The sequence below is a fragment of the Homo sapiens genome, chromosome 13 (genome assembly GCF_000001405.40).
Source record: "Homo sapiens chromosome 13, GRCh38.p14 Primary Assembly".
Taxonomy (NCBI): Eukaryota; Metazoa; Chordata; class Mammalia; order Primates; family Hominidae; genus Homo; species Homo sapiens.
The window spans coordinates 111,035,278-111,055,693 of NC_000013.11; the positions used below are offsets into that span (position 1 = coordinate 111,035,278).

Sequence of the window (20,416 nt, forward strand, 5' to 3'; positions counted from 1 at the left end):
ATTTGTATGGGAAATATTAATAATATGAGTAATAAAAGGCAGATTACAAAACTGTATATAGCATGATTCTATGTTTATGTAGAAATTCTGTACACCTATGCAAAGTATTAACGACCATCTTATCTGTGTAGATAGGGTTATGAATGCTTTTATTTTCTACTTGGGCTTCACTGTATTTTTCACTTTTTAACTTATAAATGGACAAAGACTATTACTTATAAATAGTTCAGAACTATTATTAAAAATTAAGCTGTGATAGTGTAGTGGTAAATGAAATAGTAAATACAGTTACTATATTTTAATGATATTTAGGGAGGTGACTGAACTAATATTGAAAATGTCCAAAAACACTTTTGTTGACACACTAGTGAGCACATATTTTTTGCAAAGCAGCTTCATAGGGTACGCTGTGGTCAGATTCGACTCCCACATTCCCCAGAATGAACAGTGGCCTGGCTTGAACACTCCCCCTGCCATTCTTTCACCTCTCCGCAGAAGACACGCTTATCAGGTGATTTAGAGCTCTGCCAATTTGGGTGATTTTGAACAAAGATTATTCTCTTTGCTTACGTTATTCAGATGATTGATTAACTTCAAATTCTAACATAATTATCTCTCGACTACTTAATTTTCTAGAATAGGGTCTCTCGACGGATGACCTTTCAGCTGGAGAATTCTGTCGTGGGGCCGTCCTGTGCCCTGGCGGGCACTCAGCAGCCTCCCTGGCGTCTATTCGATGTCAGGAGCCCCTCCGCCCTCATTGTGGCAACCAAAGATGCCTGCAGACATTGCCAAAGGTGTCCGGAGGGGAAAATCACACCCAGTTAAGAACCACTGCTCTAAAAGAAGCATTGTTTTTTGCAATTAGAGAAACAGACTTGTCCATTTCTTTACCTAATTTGCACTCCATTTTCAAAATTGCTCCTAATTTTGTAATACTTTTATGTTTAGGCATTTAATACCTGAAGCATTACATCAGTAGAATCAGATGGAGAGCTCCATGACCTCTTTGACAGAGTATTATTAAGAAATAAGTTTCAGCCTGCAATTATAAAATGGGGTAAAATTATTCACTTATGGTATTCAAAATGCAATTTTTTTTTGGTAAAAAGTATTCCAGCTAAATTTTAAAATGGTGACCTGGGTTTTTTTTTGTTTTGTTCTTTTTTTTGTTGTTTGTTTTTTGAGACGGAGTCTCGCTCTGTCACCCAGGCTGGAATGTGGCGGCACAATCTTGGCTCACTGCAAGCCCTGCCTCCCAGGTTCAAGGTATTCTCCTGCCTCAGCCTCCCAAGTAGCTGGGACTTCAGGCATGTGCCACCATACTAGGCTAATTTTTTTTTTTTTTTTTTTAGTAGCGATGGGGTTGCACTATGTTGGCCAGGCTGGTATTGAACTCCTGAGCTCAGGTGGACAACTTGGGTTTTCATACAGCCCAGAGGAACATCTCCTACTCTTGGTCTGAACTTGAACTGCAGCTGAAAGAATGGTTAAAAGAAGAATCTGAGAGTTGAGTAGTGAGGATCCGATGGGCAGCTAAGGACATTTCTGCTGGTGAGCACGAAAGTGCCCAAGGCAGGAGTCAGATAAACATCCTTAAGAGATACCAGATTATTCTTTTCTGTAAAGGTAACCCGCCCTGGTTTTTTTCCTGTCCACCCAATAAATTTGCAGCAGTCAGTGCACATGGAAAGGCCCTGCTGCAGCCTTGGTTCCCGCCTGGGAACACGCTCCTTTGCGGTGTCATGGTTTACTCTGGGTTTTGCTTTAATCGTTATCTTAGTCTATTTGTGTCTCTCTCTGACTTGTAGGTTTTAACATGTGCTGACTTAAAGGAAGACAACAGGCTGTAGACAAGGGGTTGCAGCTCCAGTGCTCTAAGGTCCAGTGAGGTGGGGAAGTGGGGGGAGTGGCCCAGGCGATTGGGAGGGTGGGGACTCATGGGGGCAGCTCTGGGGACAGTGGAATTCATGCACAAGTGCACATCCCATATGGACAGATGGCCCTATTTTTAAAGACAAGTCAGAAATTCATATTTTATGTGAACTTTTCCTATTTTTAAATGTGCCTAACCAATTTAAAAGAGATTTAAACCATTTTGCAGCTCAAACACATTTCTGCAAGCCAGGCACAGCCCCCACACCGGGTCGGAGGACCATCTGTTCATTAGGAAACCTGTGTGGAACCTGTTTCCACACCTGGTAATAACCCTTCAGATGAAAACACTTTGCATTTAGATGTGGTAAGCATCTTGCCAAACCCCACTTCTGAAAATTCTGTAAACTCTTCCCACCTGCCTAAAGATGCCCTGGTGTGGCGCTCACCAGCCTGTCTGGCAGATGAGATAATTAACTCGAGGAAGCCTCTGCATGCAGGTCTCCTGGGCTGAAAGAGCACTGTGGATGGAACGCATGGCCCCTCCCTGCACACATGAAAAGGTAAGCTTGCAGCTCCTGGGAAGCAGGTGGGCCTGGGCCTCATCTCAGCCTCAGGCGGTCCAGCTGGCTCTACTGGACATTGAAATCCCAGGGGCTCTGGGACTGGAGGGATCAGGGCAGATTTTCTGCAGGTGCATGCCAGCGTTCTCTATCTTCGTGTGATAGGAAATGGAAGGAGAAATGGAGGGCGGTTCTAACAACAGGCAGGAAGCCAAGGAAATGCTGCAGCTCAGATGGGATTTTTGCACGTCTCACTCCTCTCTTTACCTCTTTGCATTCGGAATTCCCAGAGACACTTGGCAAGGAAAACGGCACTTTTCAGCTAGCATTGATATCACTGTTGGGTGATTATTGATATTCATATGCAAACCTGGAGATCTTTAGAGAAGGAAACGAGTACATAAAATAATCCACAACTTGGAGCTCAGATGCAGATCAGCGCCAGACCTTGGCTGAGATGCACGGAACCGCATTTAGGTCGTGTTGGTGGTGAAGTGCCTCCATCTCCCGGCAAAACGCGGCTTCACTCTTCACGCTGAGAATTTTTGACTGAAATGTGTGGTCTTAACCAATTCTATTCAGTTTCATTTAACTTACTTTTGTCCATAAATGGGGTAGAAAAGCTCCCCCAAAAATGAATTTATAAAAGCTTCTGAGTATCTGACCTATTACATTTAGAAATAGAGTCACATTCGAAGACACTAAGGACTAAGGACTTCCACACATGAATTGGAGGGAATGCAATTCAACCCATAACAACGGTATAATTATTATTGGCATAGAAGAGAAACCTAATCCTTGCCCCATTGATCAGTCGCTCCAAAAAATTTTTGGAGCAGTGACAATTTGTCATTATTTATTTTTTATTTCCTAGCAACACTTCACAAAACACACCTGCAGGGCAGTTTGACCTATCAATAAAACTAATTGAAATTATCTGTGTCTTAGAAAATTTGCAGTGCTTATTTGAGATGACTTGGAGACAGGAACCACTCCAGCTCACCATGGAAATCCTACTGGATATCACTGGCCTGGAAACAGCTTAATGTTTCTGAGCAAGAAAACGGACGTGAACATTAGGTTTACACAGATTCCTTGAGGCTCCACCTTTGGAGAGGCTTGCATCTATCTAGGTCTAGAGAGAATTAAAATAGAAATGAGCTGAGACAGCCACGGGGCCCCTGTGATCTGGACAGCGCTGTGACTCCCATGTAGACAGCCCTAGGCAACCGTGTCCATACAGAGGAGAGACCCAAGGCTTGGGTCATCCATGAGTGATTGGCACTTCTGGTTTGGACCAAAAGCTGTAAGCACTGCTGCATCTAGGAGATATTCAGGCTGAGGTCTGACCTCCTGGGGCTCTCCCTGCACCCACGGCTGTCTGGTTGCACACTCTACAGATTCAGGGATTTGACGTCCAGAAATGAAGGTGCAGGACAGTGGTGGAGAATGTGGGCTGACTTCCCACATCCGTTTACCCACAGGGAGCCACATAAGCCAGTAGTTTTGGGCCCTGTGTGTGCGTGTGTGTGTGTTTGAGAACTTATGTATTCCTATGATCTTTTGTTTCAAGATAACCAAAGAAAAATGATTCCTTACCTGTTTCTTGTCACCAGCCTGTGGACAATCCATGACATTTTACCCTAGGTAGTTCCTTCTTTGCTAATTCTCCCTATCTTCCTAGAAAGGATAGTTCATTCACTCATTTGTCAAGTATTTATTGAGGTTTTCTGTATGCAAAGCATTATGACAGAAACTATGGATGTGAAAAGGGTGATTAAGTCATAGACCCTGCTTTTAATTAATCGATAATCTCCTAAAGGAAGTTACCCAAAAGACTATGAATACAAGCAAAAATTTACACCAAAAAAGGTGTGTTCTGCAGTTGCGTAAGATTCTATAAATATCAGTTAGATTGAGGTAGCCGATAGCGTTGTCCGGATTTTCCACGTCCTCACTGACTGTTCACCTAGTTGATCTACCAATTACTGTGAAAGAGACGTGAAAATCTCCAACTATAAATGTGAGTTCTTCTATTTCTTCCTTTAATTTTTTTAATGTTTGCTTCATGTATGTGGAAACTCTTCTTAAGCATCCGCACATTTATGACGGTCATGTCTTCTTGATAAGTGACTTTCACTGCTACGAAACATCTCTCTCTACGTCTGACAGTACTCATTGTCTTGTGGTCTATTATCTGAGCCACTGCAGATTTCTACCACCATCTGCAGGGTAGAGCTTTTAATGTCTTGTTACTACCAACCTAGTCATGTTTCTATACCTACAATGCATATATTGCAGACAGTGTGGACTTAGACTGGGCACTGGAAGCACCACTATGGGAATTTGGAAAATTGAAATTAGAGACCCTTTGATGAAAAGGCAGCATTTAAAGTCATTGGGATAGATGGGCTCGTGGCAGGTTGGAGAGTGCAGAAAGAAAAGTATTACAGGAAGGACCCTGGGGAGGTCCCAACATGTAAGAGATGGACGAATGCAGGGAATGCCACTGAAATCAGGGAGGCAAGAACATCAAGAAGAAAGAAGCGACTGATGGTGTAAAATACGTACAAGAGTTTCGGTAGAATGAGGACTTGGGAGAAAGTCAGTTTTGACACAGCTCATTGTTCCTAATCTATCATCTGAGCCACTCCGGATTTCTGATAGCATCCATATGGTCTATTTTTTAATATCTTTTAATTGTTCTACTAAGCTCTTTTTGCATTTTTTCCTGATTGCTATAAAGTTAGCAACATCAGTTTGTAATTTCCCACTGTCTACTTAGTTATTGTCGTGCCACTTTATGTAAAACATAAAACAACTTTACCATCACATATTTTTACTTATTTCTGGCAGTCATCCTATGGCCATGAGATAAATCAACCTTGGATGACATTAACCTTACAAGCAGAGGGAGAAATAGGTCTATCGGGGTCTACAGTAACCTAATGGAATGCTGAACCAACCCGAACTAAGTCTAGGCTTTTTTTTTTTTTAGACAGGGTCTCTCTCTGGGACTACAGGCGCGTGCCACTACACCCCGCTAATTTTTGTATTTTTTGTAGAGACGGGGTTTCACCATGTTGCCGAGGCTGATCTCAAACTCCTGGGCTCTAGCAATCTGCCCACCTTGGCCACCCAAAGTGCTGGGATTACAGGCGTGAGCTACCCCATCCAGCCAGTTTAGACTTCTTGTTGGTAAGATAATGAATATCTTATTGCTTAAACCACTTATAGTCAGGGTTTTTCACGATTTGCAGCCAACCTGCTGTAACTGACAGAAGCAGCCTCTTCTTCACTGCGGAGTCACTCAGTACTGAGAATACTAGACGTGCTGACTCAGACAGAGCAGAGTGAGGGGAGGGGCACATCTCAGGGAAAGCCTTGGGAAGGCAGACCACCGTGCTCAACGTGACCCCTCTTCTGCCTGGGACTCTTAGCACTTTGCACATAACGTTTAAGCATAACAGTATTTTTTCAGAGTATAAGATGCTCTTTTTCACCCTTTTTGCTCTAAATAGTTCAAGAGAAAATAGGCATACTTTTGCCCTGTAACACTTTGCTTCACATGATTTTGGAAGACAGCAGGGTACAAACAAGACTTGTCCTATTTAGTCTTTGTCCTAAAAGCCACAGGTGGGCCGGGCACGGTGGCTCATGCTTGTAACCCCAGCACTTTGGGAGGCCAAGGCGGGCAGATCACTTGAGTCCAGGAGTTCGAGACCAGCCTGGCCAACATGGCGAAACCCTGTCTCTACTAAAAAATACAAAAATTAGCCAGGTGTGGTGGTGGGTGCCTGTAATCCCAGCTACTTGGGAGGCTGAGGTAAGAGAATTGCTTGAACCTGGGAGGCAGAGGTTGCAGTGAGCCAAGATTGCATCACTGCACTCCAGCCTGGGCGACAGAGGGAGACTCCATCTAAGAAAAAAAAAAAAAAGCCACAGGTGAATGACTTTGACTTATTTGTCCTGTTGCTGAGCTCATCTGTTGTCTTGTCTGTGAGCATGCGGTCTGTAAGGTAAGTAAATACACCATCTTGTCTTATGTCTCACAACCCTTTACCAGCCTACGTTAAAAGAAAGGCATACTCCCTCCTCTTCCTCACTTCTCAGTCATGTCTCAACTCCGAGAAGTGTGACTTCTGATGCATCATGGAATGGAAACCACACTCTTTAAGAGCACTAATCACTTCTCAATTCACCAATCCAATTGGCTTCTCTTTCGAGTCCTTGTTCTGCTTAAACTCTTCTCCATATTTTACACCATCAGCCTCTCCTTTCTTCTCGATGTTCTCTCCTCCCTGATTTCCATGACATTCCCTGCGTTCGCCCATCTCTTACATGTTGGACCTCCCCTGGGTCCTTCCTATAATACTTTTCCTTCTGCACTCTCCACATCCCATAAGCCCATCTATCCCAATGACTTGAAATATGAATACCACCTTTTCATCAATGGGTCTCTCATTTCAATTTTCCAAATTCCCATCGTGGCGTTTCCAACTCCCAATCAAACATCTTCGTTTGTTTACCCTGAGAGACTTCAAGCATAATATGTCCCAAGCTGAATGTTTGTTTGGGGACACATTATCTATTCCCTCTCCTGCTCTCCTTCCCAAATCTGTTTTTCCTCCCCAGTTCCCTCTCCTCTTACCTACTTGTCCAAACTCGAAATTCATAACTATAAATGTCTACTCTCTTTATTCCCCAAATCCACCTGCTCACTGAGGCCTTTTGATTCTGTTTATGATATTGTCCCACACTTTGCATCATTGGTCATGGGGCACACGGGGACCTGGGCTGGGCTTGAGGAGAGGAGGGTTAAGCCCTGGGGGTTGGGGCAGTGGCACACTTGCCTCTCTCCACAGTGGCCAGGAGACTTGGTCCCCAGGATGAGAAGGAACCATGTCTGTGCCCAATCCAGGTGGAATATGTCATCTGAGGCTGCCTTTCCACCCAGAGGGTCAGAAGTGGCCTGGGGCTCTGTCACCCGAGGGTGTGGTTGAACACTGAACATCCGGGGGATCAGTCCCTGTTTGCCTGGACACCTGAAGTGGCTGAATCCATTCAGAGTCCAGGTCCACAGGGGAAGTGAGGCTGCGGCTGGGACCCATCCAGCCTGGCGTTAGGCACTCAGCAAACTAGAGGAGGGGCTGGCACTAGCAGGGTTCATCAGGCTTTAGCATCAGTGCCTTTTCCTTTAAAGAAAGGTCACGTGGAACTCACCCTCAGCAGATAAGACAGGCCCCGAGGATGAAATGGGTGTAGAGCTCATGCCCCCTTGGCAATCTGACGCACCCTGACACAGAACAGGCGGTCGGTGAGTGCATGCTAAAGGCCATGACTGAGGGTGGTGTCCTACGCTGCCAATGTGCCTGCAGCCAAACAGTCCCTCCTCTAGTTTCCAGAACTTTCCAGTAAAATATACATGGGCCTCCAAGGAGGCACAGTGGTGAAAATGTTCTCTTACATGACTGCACAGTCAGCAGTGTTCGTGACTGTATACATCTGTTGAAACTCATCAATTTATGTTCTTAAAGTTGGTATGTGTATGTAAATGATATGTCAGTCAAATTGATCCCCCCCAGAATAAAAGAGCCTGGTGTTTATGACATTTGGAAGCTGAAAAGAAGTAAACATTTTAATACTTTTAATTAGCAACAGTAAAAACACGGGAAAAAAAGTCTTAATGGCTGTAAACAAATATGACTGAGTTGTCATGAAGTGTGGGATTCACACCCTATCTCCCTTCCTTCTGCTCCACGTTCAAATGACAGTATTGAACATATTGAAAGTATTGTCACCTAAATCTTGACCAAGTCCGCCCCCTTTGGCATCTCCGCTGTGGCTTCCCTGTGAGGACACAACCCCCTGCGTGGCCTCCCTTGGTCCCTCTCTGTTGCGCTGCTCTCCAGCGCACTGTCCCACGCCCTGAGTGTGTAGCGTCTGGAGGACGCGTGTGTCCCTGGGGTTTCTGTGCTCGTCATGGATGACAGCACAGAGTCCATGTCACGTGAAGACCCATGTTCAGCCTCTTCCTGCCCTCCAGGCCCATCCTCTGCACACACCCTCCCCTGGGGAAGGCCCTGAGGCTCTGGGGCCAGATGGCTGGGCAGTGAATCATCTTGTGGCCTCAATATCTCGTCTGCAAAACGGGTACCATGGTGATAAGTGACAGCAGCAACAACAACAACAAGAAAAACACACCAGGGTTTCAGGAGGGCCACGTGAATTAATATGAGCATGTTCAATTTACAGTAGTGCCTGCATCTTCTATGAGCTCAATATTGTGGGCCAGTGTTGTTTCTCATGATTTCTTGCCTCACAGCTTAAACTTCAGCAATTATAGAAATACTTGTTTGCTCCAGCACACACATACAAACACACATACACACCATGCACACACACACCACACACACACCATACACACATACACACCATGCATGTGGACACGCACACACATGCACATACACATACATGTGCACACACATATGTCACATATACACACATACACAGCACGCAGACGCACACACACCATACACATACACACACATATACATGGCATGCACATAGACACACATGCACATACACCATATACTCGTGTACACATGCAATACATATACACACATACGCAGCACGCACGTGCACACACACCACACACATACACACACATACACATCATGCGCATAGACACACACACATACACCACGTACACATGTACACACACACTACATATACACACATACGCAGCACACACACACACACACCATGAACATACACACACATATACACATCATGTGCATAGACACACACGCACATACACCACATACACGTGTACACATGCACCACATATACACACATATGCAGCATGCACACACACATACCCCCAGCCTCACCTCTGCTCCTCTGTCCCCTGGCCAGATACTGCCCTCTTGGCTGCCTGAGTCCTGGGTGCTCACAGCTCAGGACTCCTTCACAAGATGCTCCTCTGCCTCTCTCCGAGCTGAGTTAGGGACCCCTCTGTGCTCCGGGAATAAAGTGGGTCTGCTCTGCGTGGCCCCCGCACACTGGATAAAATGATGCGTGTTGACGGAATCCTGGCACTTGGAGGGGGGCGTGCATGCAGGTCCTGGAGAGGCAGGGGCACAGTCTGCGTCCTCGGCAGGGGGCCCCTCTATGAACAAACGTGGGCTCTGTTACACTCCCGGGGCCCCCTCTATGAACAAACGTGGGCTCTGTTACACTCCCGGGGCCCCCTCTATGAACAAACGTGGGCTCTGTTACACTCCCGGGGCCCCCTCTATGAACAAACGTGGGCTCTGTTACACTCCCGGGGCCCCCTCTATGAACAAACGTGGGCTCTGTTACACTCCCGGGGCCCCCTCTATGAACAAACGTGGGCTCTGTTACACTCCCGGGGCCCCCACTATGAACAAACGTGGGCTCTGTTACACTCCCGGGGCCCCCTCTATGAACAAACGTGGGCTCTGTTACACTCCCGGGGCCCCCTCTATGAACAAACGTGGGTTCTGTTACACTCCCGGGGTGCCCCAGCACTCCCTGCATCTACATCTGCAGCCAGGCCAACCCCAGTAGGGCCTGCGAGGAGGGGCCATGCCAAAGGGACCATGTGACTCTTCCCATCTGCACGACGGGAGTGGGGAATCTTCATGGGGGTGGACAGTGAGGGCATGGGGTGATGGTGGGTGATGCTGAGCCAGGCTGAACCCATGGGTGTGTGTTCACTATGTGGGGATTGCAGAATCCGTGTTCTAGTTTAAGGCAGAAAGGGCTCTGGGGCTTGCTGGCTAAAACATGGGCCTAGGGGTGCCCCGTCCTAAATGAAGTCAGTGTGTAACCTGTCTTGGGATGCTGTGGAAGAAACTGCAGCTCACAGCAGTGAGGGGAGAGGATGCTGTGAAAGAAGCTGCAGCTCACAGCAGCAAGGGGAGAGTGGACCAGCAGAGAGGATTGCCATGCAAGACTTGCTTATCCTGGGAGAGTCTGGAAACCCTACCTGACTGTGATAGCAAACCTGGGAGGGGATCTACACCCTTGCAGAGCTCTTCTCTGCAGCCCAGACCTCACAGTCAGAGCCACAGCCACCGCCGGAAAGCTAAGGGCAGCGAGAACCATCAGAACATGGTTTCAAGGTGGGGTGGTGCCCACAGGCACAGCAGAGGCCAAGCAGCAGCCAGGGGAGGATGGCTCCCAGGGCCCCGTGGCCTTGGCTGGTGATGGTGGTGTTCCTAGAAGGGAAACGGAGGGAAGCCTACTCAATTCCTTCTTGATCTACATAAACAGAGAAGTTCTAGGCCAAGTGAATGAAAGCCTACTCTGAATCATAAAAGCAGAGTGTTGCTGCCCCTAAAACAATTCCCAAACAGACTTGAGCCAGCTGACAGATCCAGAGCCCTCAAAGAAGAAGCCCAAGGAAGGACCCCACTCTCTTCCCAGAGTTTGTATTGTTACTCTTTCTCCCAGACCCCCCAAAAGGGACAGCCTTTCACCCACGTCACTGTGCACGGGAAAGGAAATAATCAGAACTTTCCAGGGCTATTGGACTCTGGTTCTTAACTGACTCTGATTCCAGAAGGACCAAAATGTCTGTGGCCCCCAATCAGAGTAGGGGCTTATGGAGGTCAGGTGGTCACTGAAGCCTTAGCTCCAGTCTGTCTCCCAGCGGGCCCAGTAGATCCCCATCTTGTGGCTCCTTCCCCAGGTCTGGGGAGCATAAGTGAAACAGACACACTCAGCAGCCAACAGAACCCCCTCCTACCCCTGGCTGTTCCCAGCATAACGTAGTACACAAACTATGCTCTCAGAAGCACTGTGGAATAGAAGAGCCATCTAAAGAGTAATGATATTATTGAACACGGTGCGAGCACCAGGGGTCCGCTCACTGGGTTTGTGTTTGCAGCTGGTGGTGTGGTTCTGACTACCGGCCATGGCTCTGGCCCATCCTGCTGTCCTGCTCTTGCTCAACGGGACCACGTGCAACAGGGGCACCTCCTGGGCCTCTGCAGACTTGGTTCTGGTGGGACAGCTGTCCCATCATAAGCTGCAGCTGTCGCAGCTGCTCTCACTCCCACATCCCTGGCACATGACCCTTCCATTCATGTTTTAGGATTCTTCACTAAGACCCCAAACAGCCCCCGGTTAACTTAGGTCACCTTGGAACACTTGGTGCACTTTCTTCCTCAAGTATGTGTTGAGAGAAGATTCAGAGACATGACTTCATTGGTGCTTCCGTTTTCTCTATTTACTGGGTCTCTTTGTTTTGATGTGGGGGTGTCACCCCATATTTTTAGAACGAAGTCCACATGACAATGACTCACCCCTTTTAAGCTCCCCTTGTGGCAGCACAGGGCTCAGCCATCTTTTACTTCATCTCACTGCCTTAAGAGTAAGCAGAAATTTGAAACTGAAAGATGTTGATTATAACAGTTTATTTGCTATTTCCTTCTTGCTCCATAAAATGGAAACCACTGCATTGAATCTCTTTACTTGTCCAGTCACCTGTATTTATGCAACTGCATTTCATATCAAATATGAAATAAATGATCCAAGATGCCCCTAGATGATTCTACAGTCAAATTCAGAAATTATCTTGCTAACTCTTGCATTAAAATAAACTGAAGACCAGGAAGTAGTGAATTGCCTCAGATTACATAAAATATGACATAATATTATTAATTTTTAAGACACTTAATTTACACGAGAAATAAGAAAAGAAAAGTGAGAACTGAAAAGGGAAGTGCAAGGCACAATGGGAGTAAAACATGGGCTGGTGAGGGCACAGCCAGGCCACCTCGCCCACCCTCTAGTCCACAGCCCCGCAGGCTGGGCCACCTCGCCCACTGTCTTGTCCACAGCTCTGGCTCTGCACTCAGCATGCAGTAGGTCCTCAATCAGGACTCGTTAAATGATCACTAAGTAAACAGACAACAGAACACAAGCCCAGTCACCACTTTGGTTGCTTTTGTTCATGAATTGACTGTACATGAAATAGAAAATAATATCTATTATCTATGTACAGGAAAATACCAATTCATTGTCAAAATCTGGTTGTAAACATAGAAATGAGGTAAGAAAATGCAAAGTATGGCATGATGAATCTAAGCTCTGTGTCTATATCTTCTCTACTTTGTTATTTAAAATATGAGTTTCACCATTTTGGGAGGCTGAGGTGGGCAGATCACCTGAGGTTGGGAGTTCAAGACCAGCCTGACCAACATGGAGAAACCCCGTCTCTACTAAAAATACAAAAAAATTAGCCGGGCGTGGTGGCAAGCACCTGTAATCCCAGCTATTCAGGAGGCCGAGGCAGGAGAATCGCTTGAACCTGGGAAGCAGAGGTTGCAGTGAGCCGAGATCGCGCCATTGCACCCCAGCCTGGGCAACAAGAGCAAAATTCCATCTCAAAAAAAAAAAAGTTTCTGAAAAGTCTTCAGCTTTCCCTCTTTCTTAGGAATAGGATTTGTGTTTCACAATATGTACAGTTAGGGAGACCCAGGTAAACATGCTGATGCTGGAACAAGAACGAGCCTCAGAAAAGTGGAGTCCTGTGGTTCTCTGTCTTCATCAGAAAAAGAGGACAGTGTATTTATTTTTTAAATCAATAAGTTCCTAATAAAATTGAGAGGACTGAGGGTCTTTTTCTTTCCCTTTAGATAAAATTAATTTTAAGGTTCTTTCTAGAATGGCAAAGTCATTGTAGGGGAACAGACTGGCTCCCACGTGAGTCAGGGAGGACAGTAGACAAGGGACCAGGCAGTGCCCTGGGGCAGGTCGGGATGCAGAGAGTCACTCCCTGAAAACCTGGAAAGAGGATCTAGGGCAGAGCTCCTGTGGGCTACCTCTGGTACCGTGGGCTAGCTCTGGCCCCGTGGGCTAGCTCTGGCACCTTGCTACCTCAGCTTGCTCCACGCACACACTCTCAAACAGCAGAAGGCACAGCTAGCCAGGTGGGAGAGATGGCGTGTTTGTGGAAGGCGTCCACATGAAGAGTGGTAGTGATAAGTCGACATGCAGCAATGTCCAGTCCATAAAAAGGATATGCATGTCCATCAGTGAGCACATCCTTGTCAAAACATTTTCAGCAGAAGTAGAAATGATGTAGGTGTAGGGACATACTCCACAATATCAGCTCCTAGAAGCATCATGGAGAAATTTCATTAAATACCACCTACAGAAATATGATGGAAAACAGCTATGGGTCTTTGTAAGCAAATTGACCAGCCCCATGTAAACTTAAGCCTAAGTATTCCAGGGAAGGCAACTGCAGAAAATCCTTTCAAAAGAAAGAAGGCTTCACTGCACAGCCCTGGAGTTTGTCTACCCTGTTCGCCTCCCTCTTGGGGAACTCTCACCAGTGAGGGCCCTGCTGCATGTGGAGGACTTGGGACTTCAACGGCCTCGTTCCTTGAGCTCTGTTCTCTTCTCACATTTCCCATTCCACTTGGTCTCTGTGAGTGGGTTTTTTTGTTTTTTTGTTTTTTTTTCAGATGGAGTCTCGCTCTGTTGGCCATGCTGGAGTGTAGTGGCATGATCTTGGCTCACTGAAACCACCACCTCCCAGGTTCAAGTGATTCTACTGCTCAGCCTCCTGAGAAGCTAGGACTACAGGCGTGCACCACCAAGTCCGGCTAATTTTTGTATTTTTAGTAGAGATGGGGTTTCGCCATGTTGGCCAGGCTGGTCTTGAACTCCTGACCTCAAGTGATCCGCCTGCCTCAGCCTCCCAAAGTGCTGGGATTACAGGCGTGAGCCACCGCGCCTGGCCCTCTGTGAGTGGTTTCACCCACACGTGGCCTGAAGGGTCATCTCTCTGCAACTGACTCCCAGCCCCATGTCACCCCGGGGACAATGCAGCAGCATCCCGGTATTTGCAAGTTTCATGTGTATAGAACAATGCGGTCCCGTCCAGTCACAGTCAGGTTCAGCTGGCCTCAGTGCTGTGACGTGGGCTTCCACAGCAAAAGGGTCCATGTGGAATTACTGGGTGCCAGGCTAGCCATGGGCAAGGATGACAGAGTGTTTGGGGCCAGTCACCATACACATTTCTAAGGCAGGGCTGCATTAGACTTCTCACCAATTTTGAGAAAATTGGCAATTTTAAGCACAGCTCTATGGAACAAATGGAGTTGCAGGTCGTCTTGGTCTCTGCACCTGACTTCAGGCTCGTAGGCTGCCGCATCTTGGTTGATACAGCGGCCCCTACCACTTCTGCAGAGGCTGCGAGGCCCCCGCAGCTTCTCCACATCTTCCTCTTATGACATCAAGCTGCCCGAGGGGACAAGGCTGGGCTGCCTGGTTCTTTGACCCAAAGAGCACTGGTGATGAGGGGACCATGAGAGAAACCGTACTCGCTTTGGTCCTGTCCCCTGGAGATGGAGGCGGAAGGGCAGGATTACAGGGGTGTGTGTGTGCACATGCATGTGTGTGCGTGTGTGTGCAGGTGTGTGCGTTGTGTGCACCTGTTCATGTGTGTGGAGTAGGGGTGGTAGGGTGCAAAGAGGCCGAGGTTGCGGGAAAAACCGAAGGACACTCAGGGGAGGGGTTTTGGAGCTGGGGAGGGGTGTGGAGCTGGGGCGGGGCCGCACCAGCACTGACCTCTAACTGCACATTTGACCAGACCTACCCTTGGCGGGTTGCCAGCCATCCAGTTCAGAATTGGGGTGCGCAGTGGGGAAGGGGGGAGAATTCCTGAGCAATTTAATTATGCCTGGGGTGCCCTCTGGTGGCTCACCTTTTATTCTGACTCCAAGTTCCAGGAACTTGGAAACTCACTCACTTAGAAAACTGGGGCAGTTTGGGGGGACTTGGACATTTGTTGTGGCTATGAATGAATGAAGCCTCTAACAAGATCCTACTCACTGGAAACACAGAACCTACAGAGGAAGCAAACAGGTTTCTGTCTACAACGACGGGAACTGGGGAAGCAAAGTGTGTTCAGTTTGCTAAACATTCCTCAGCCAGCCTGGGTTATAGAACAAGGTCACAGTCCTTTTGTTATTAAATAAGGGTGGCCCTAAGCCCTCATCTCTCGATTCTGGAAATGTCTGACTTTTGTCCTCAGGGTCTACCTTCTGTGATATGTCCAGACACCTCAGGCCAAAAAATCAGCCTCCTGGATAGAAAACCAGGAAACGTTGTCACCCATCAGAGGCCTCATTCTCACGGTCATCGCTCTGTCAGGTCATCTGTCCTGCTGTGCAGGAGCCCTTAAAGACCAGGCACCTCTCTGCCCACTCAGGCCATAAGCAAGGTCACCACAGGGCCCTCCGAGAGGAAGGGAGGCTCTCTCCTAACAGCTTCCATGATGCCAGGGCTCATGGTGGCCCAGTTCTTCTTCATGTATCTATGCAGCAGCTCATGTGTGTGTGCACACATGCATGCATGTGCAAAGGTAGGCACCCACTTACACACATGCTTGCACACACAGGCATATGCACCCACTCGCATGCATGCACACATAGACATAGGCACCCACTCACACACATGCATGCATGTGCAAACCCATGCACCCACTCACACACATGCATGCATGCACACATAGACATATGCACTCACTCACACACATGCATGCATGTGCAAATGTATGCCCCCACTCACACACATCATGCATGCACACATAGACATATGCACCCACTCACACGCATGCATGCACACACAGGCATATGCACACACATTCACACACAGGCATATGCACACATTCATACACGTGTGTGACACACTCCTACATCTCTCTTGCCCACAAGAACAAATTAAGGGAAGAGCATAGAGAGAAGTTTTGAGGATTTCCAACAGAGAGGGGTCGCATCTCTTCCCTGTCTACCCCTTTTGCCTCCAGGAGGTCTCTGCCTGGTGAGACGCCAGGAGGGTGGGGACTGTAGCGCAGCTGGCAGGCAGCTGGTCAGTGCTGCTGGAGTACTTGTTTAGAAAATGTAAGTTTTTCCCAGCACATTTGAAGTATTAGAAAACATTTTGAGCATAATGCAAGATATGCATTTGTTTCTGTGTGATTTCATCCACTAGAAGCACTAGGTGAAAGTGGGAATACAAAACACACACGTGCTCGTACCTCAAGCGTTCGCCAGCCCCCTCAGCCCGCCGCAGGTGTTATGAGCCACCCCGCCCTGTCTGTGTTACAACGGACAGGGTCAGGACACACTACCACACACTGGGGCACCTGGCACACTGGCTATTACTACCCACACACTGGGGTGCCTGGCACACTGGGTATTTCCAGTCGAATATTTTCAGGTGGCAGATGCAGGAAGAATTTTCTGACCTTCCCCAGAAGCAGGTCACGAGACCCTCATGTGAGAGCACGTCACGAGACCTTCATGTGAGAAGCAGGTCACGAGACCCTCACGTGAGAAGCAGGTCACGAGACCCTCACGTGAGAAGCAGGTCACGAGACCCTCACGTGAGAAGCAGGTCACGAGACCCTCATGTGAGAGCAGGTCACGAGACCCTCATGTGAGAAGCAGGTCACGAGACCCTCATGTGAGAAGCAGGTCACGAGACCCTCATGTGAGAAGCAGGTCACGAGACCCTCATGTGAGAAGCAGGTCACGAGACCCTCATGTGAGAAGCAGGTCACGAGACCCTCATGTGAGAAGCAGGTCAGGAGACCCTCATGTGAGAAGCAGGTCACGAGACCCTCATGTGAGAGCAGGTCACGAGACCCTCATGTGAGAAGCAGGTCACGAGACCCTCATGTGAGAAGCAGGTCACGAGACCCTCATGTGAGAAGCAGGTCACGAGACCCTCATGTGAGAAGCAGGTCACGAGACCCTCATGTGAGAGCAGGTCACGAGACCCTCATGTGAGAAGCAGGTCACGAGACCCTCATGTGAGAAGCAGGTCACGAGACCCTCATGTGAGAAGCAGGTCACGAGACCCTCATGTGAGAGGGGCCCTCCCTGTATCTGGAGGGACACCAAGGGAAATCTGAAGAAACAGGCTTTGCTTTCCACAGTTTGCTACACTCAGCTCATACTTTTTTAGTCCTATCACATTTTCCCATGGCTTTCCACTCTTCACGAAAGCTAGGATCTTCAGTTACCTATGAAGGCTCATGAGTCACAAACAGCTTATATGAAACCAGTGTATATGCTGTTCTCTTGGCAATCTGTCTTTTGTTGCAGGGGCCCAGATGATGAACCTAAGACGGTTAGAAGAAACAGGTGTTTTTCTTCCCCTACACGGTTTTCCATGTGATAGCAGGTAACTGCCCCCACACTTCACAATGGTCACAGGCAGCCACCCCTATCACCCACTTCCACAAAAAAACATCAGGGCTTTTTCACGGTAAACTGGTATTTTTTCTGTAGCTCTTATGTATTTCTTAACCATTTAATGTGTGTAAAGCTGTTCATGTTTTTATTGGGCTAATTTTTTTCTATTTATTAATTTTTTACATGAATAAGTTTTTTTAGCGGTGATTTCTTAGATTTTGGTGCAGCCATCACCCGAGCAGTGTGCACTGTACCCAATGTGTAGTCTTGTGTCCCTTACTCTCTTCCTACCTCTTCCCCTGAGCCCCCAAAGTCCATTATATCATTCTTAGGCCTTTGCATCCTCAGAGCTTAGCTCTCACTTATGAGTGAGAACGTATGATGTTTGGTTTTTTATTCCTGAGTTACTTCACTTAGAATAATGGTCTCCAATACCATCCAGGTTGCTGCAAATGCCATTATTTCATTCCTTTCTATGGCTGAGTAGTATTCCATGTTATACATATACCACATTTTCTTTATCCACTCGTTGATTGATGGGTGTTTCAGCTGGTTCCATATTTTTGCAATTAAGAATTGTGCTGCTATAAACATGCATGTGCAAGTATCTTTTTTGTATAATGACTTCTTTCCCTCTGGGTAGATACCCAGGAGTGGGATTGCTGGATCAAATGGTGGATCTACTTTTAGTTCTTTAAGGAATTTCCACACTCTTTTCCATAGTGGTTTTACTAGTTTACATTCCCACCAACAGTGTAAAAGTGTTCCCTTTTACATCCACACCAGCATCTATTTTTTTTTTTTCATGTTTTGATTATATCCATTCTTGCAGGAGTAAGATGGTATCATATTGTGGTTTTGATTTGCATTTCTCTGAAAATTAGTGATGTTGAGCATTTTTTCATATATTTGCTGGTCATTTGTATATCTTCTTTTGAGAATTGTCTATTCACGTCCTTAGCCCACTTTTTGATGGGATTGTTTGTTTTTTCTTGCTAATTTGTTTGAGTTCCTTGTAGATTCTGGATATTAGTCCTTGTCAGAAATATAGATTGCGAAGATTTTTTCCACTCTGGGGGTTGTTTGTTTACTCTGCTGATTATTTATTTTTCTGTGCAGAAGCTTTTTAGTTTAATTAAGTCCCATCTATTTATCTTTGTTTTTGTCGCATTTGCTTTTTGGTTCTTGGTCATAAAGTCTTTGCCTGAGCCAATGTCTAGAATAGTTTTTCCAATGTTATCTTGTAGAATTTTTATGGTTTCAGGTCTTAGATTTAAGTCTTTAATCCATCTTGAGTTGATTTTTATATAACATGAGAGATGAGGATCCAGTTTCATTCTCCTACATGTGGCTAGCCAATTATCCCAGCACCATTTGTTGAATAGGGTGTCCTTTCCCTACTTTATGTTTTTGTTTGTTTTGTTGAAGATAAGTTAGCTGTAAGTATTTGGCTTTATTTCTGTGTTCTCTATCCTGTTCCTTCCATCTATATGCCTATTTTTACACCAGTACCATACTGTTTTGGTGACTATACCCTTATAGTATATTTTGAAGTCAGGTAATGTGATGCCTGCAGATTTGTTCTTTTTGCTTAGTCTTGCTTTGGCTGTGTAGGCTCTTTTTTGTTTCTATATAAATTTTAGGTTTGTTTTTTCTAGTTCTGTGAAGAATGCTGGTGGTATTTTGATGGAAATTGCACTGAATTTGTAGATTGCTTTCGGCAATATGGTCATTTTCACATTGATTCTACACATCCATGAGCATGGGATATGTTTTCATTTGTTTGTGTCATCTGTGATTGCTTTCAGCAGTGTTTTGTAGTTTTCCTTGTAGAAGTCTTTCACCTCCTTGAATAGGTATATTGCTAAGTATTTTGTTTGCAGCTATTGTAAAAGGGGTTGAGTTCTTGATTTAATTCTCAGCTTGGTTGCTGTTGGTGAATAGCAGAGCTACTGATTTGTGTACATTAATTTTGTATCCTAAAGTTTACTGAATTAATTTACCAGTTCTAGGACTTTTTGGATGAGTCTCTAGGGCTTTTTGGATGACCCTAAAGTCAAACAGTGACGGTTTGACTTCTGCTTTACCGATTTGGATGCCCCTTTTTTTTTTCTCTTGTCTGATTGCTCTGGTTAGGGCTTCCAGTACTATGTTGAATAGTAGTGGTGAAAGTGGGCATACTAGTCTTTTTCCAGTTCTCAGGGGGAATGCCTTCAGCTTTTCCCCATTCAGTATAATGCTGCTTGTGGGTTTGTCATAGATGGCTTTTATCACCTTGAGGTATTTCCCCTCTATGCTAATTTTGCTAAGGGTTTTAATCACAAATGGATGCTGGATTTTGTTAAATGCTTTTTCTGTGTTTATTGAGATGATCATGTGATTTTTGTTTTTAATTCTGTTTATGTGGTGTATGGCATTTGACTTGCATATGTTAAACCATCCCTGCATCCCTGGTAGGAAACTCACTTGATCATGGTGGGTTATCTTTTTGATATGCTATTGGATTCAGTTAGCTAGTATTTTATTGAGGATTTTTGCATCTATGTTCATCAGGGATATTGGTCTGTAGTTTTCTATTTTTGTTATGCCCTTTTCTGGTTTTGGTATTAGGGTGATACTGGCTTCATAGAATGACTTACAGAGGATTCCCTCTTTCTCTATCTTTTGGAATAGTGTCAATGGGATTGGTACTAATTCTTCTTTTAATGTCTGATAGAATTCAGCTGTGAATTT

At 46.2% G+C, this 20,416-nt stretch overlaps 5 annotated features.

The window, feature by feature from the left end:
* Positions 11,585 to 11,879: an enhancer, noted in NCBI's record as "tiled region #12105; HepG2 Activating DNase unmatched - State 6:EnhF. and K562 Activating DNase matched - State 5:Enh". NCBI's record gives its function as "activates a minimal TATA promoter and a strong SV40 promoter by Sharpr-MPRA in HepG2 and K562 cells {active_cell/tissue: HepG2 | K562}" and the evidence as "EXISTENCE:reporter gene assay evidence [ECO:0000049][PMID:27701403]".
* Positions 11,585 to 11,912: a biological region, named in NCBI's record as "Sharpr-MPRA regulatory region 12287".
* Positions 11,663 to 11,832: an enhancer, noted in NCBI's record as "active region_8021". NCBI's record gives its function as "activates an Ori minimal core promoter by ATAC-STARR-seq in GM12878 lymphoblastoid cells {active_cell/tissue: GM12878}" and the evidence as "EXISTENCE:reporter gene assay evidence [ECO:0000049][PMID:35858748]".
* Positions 11,853 to 11,912: an enhancer, noted in NCBI's record as "active region_8022". NCBI's record gives its function as "activates an Ori minimal core promoter by ATAC-STARR-seq in GM12878 lymphoblastoid cells {active_cell/tissue: GM12878}" and the evidence as "EXISTENCE:reporter gene assay evidence [ECO:0000049][PMID:35858748]".
* Positions 16,665 to 17,164: an enhancer, noted in NCBI's record as "H3K4me1 hESC enhancer chr13:111704289-111704788 (GRCh37/hg19 assembly coordinates)". NCBI's record gives its function as "activates a minimal SCP1, AML or CMV promoter by ChIP-STARR-seq in naive H9 embryonic stem cells {active_cell/tissue: H9 hESC(naive)}" and the evidence as "EXISTENCE:reporter gene assay evidence [ECO:0000049][PMID:30033119]".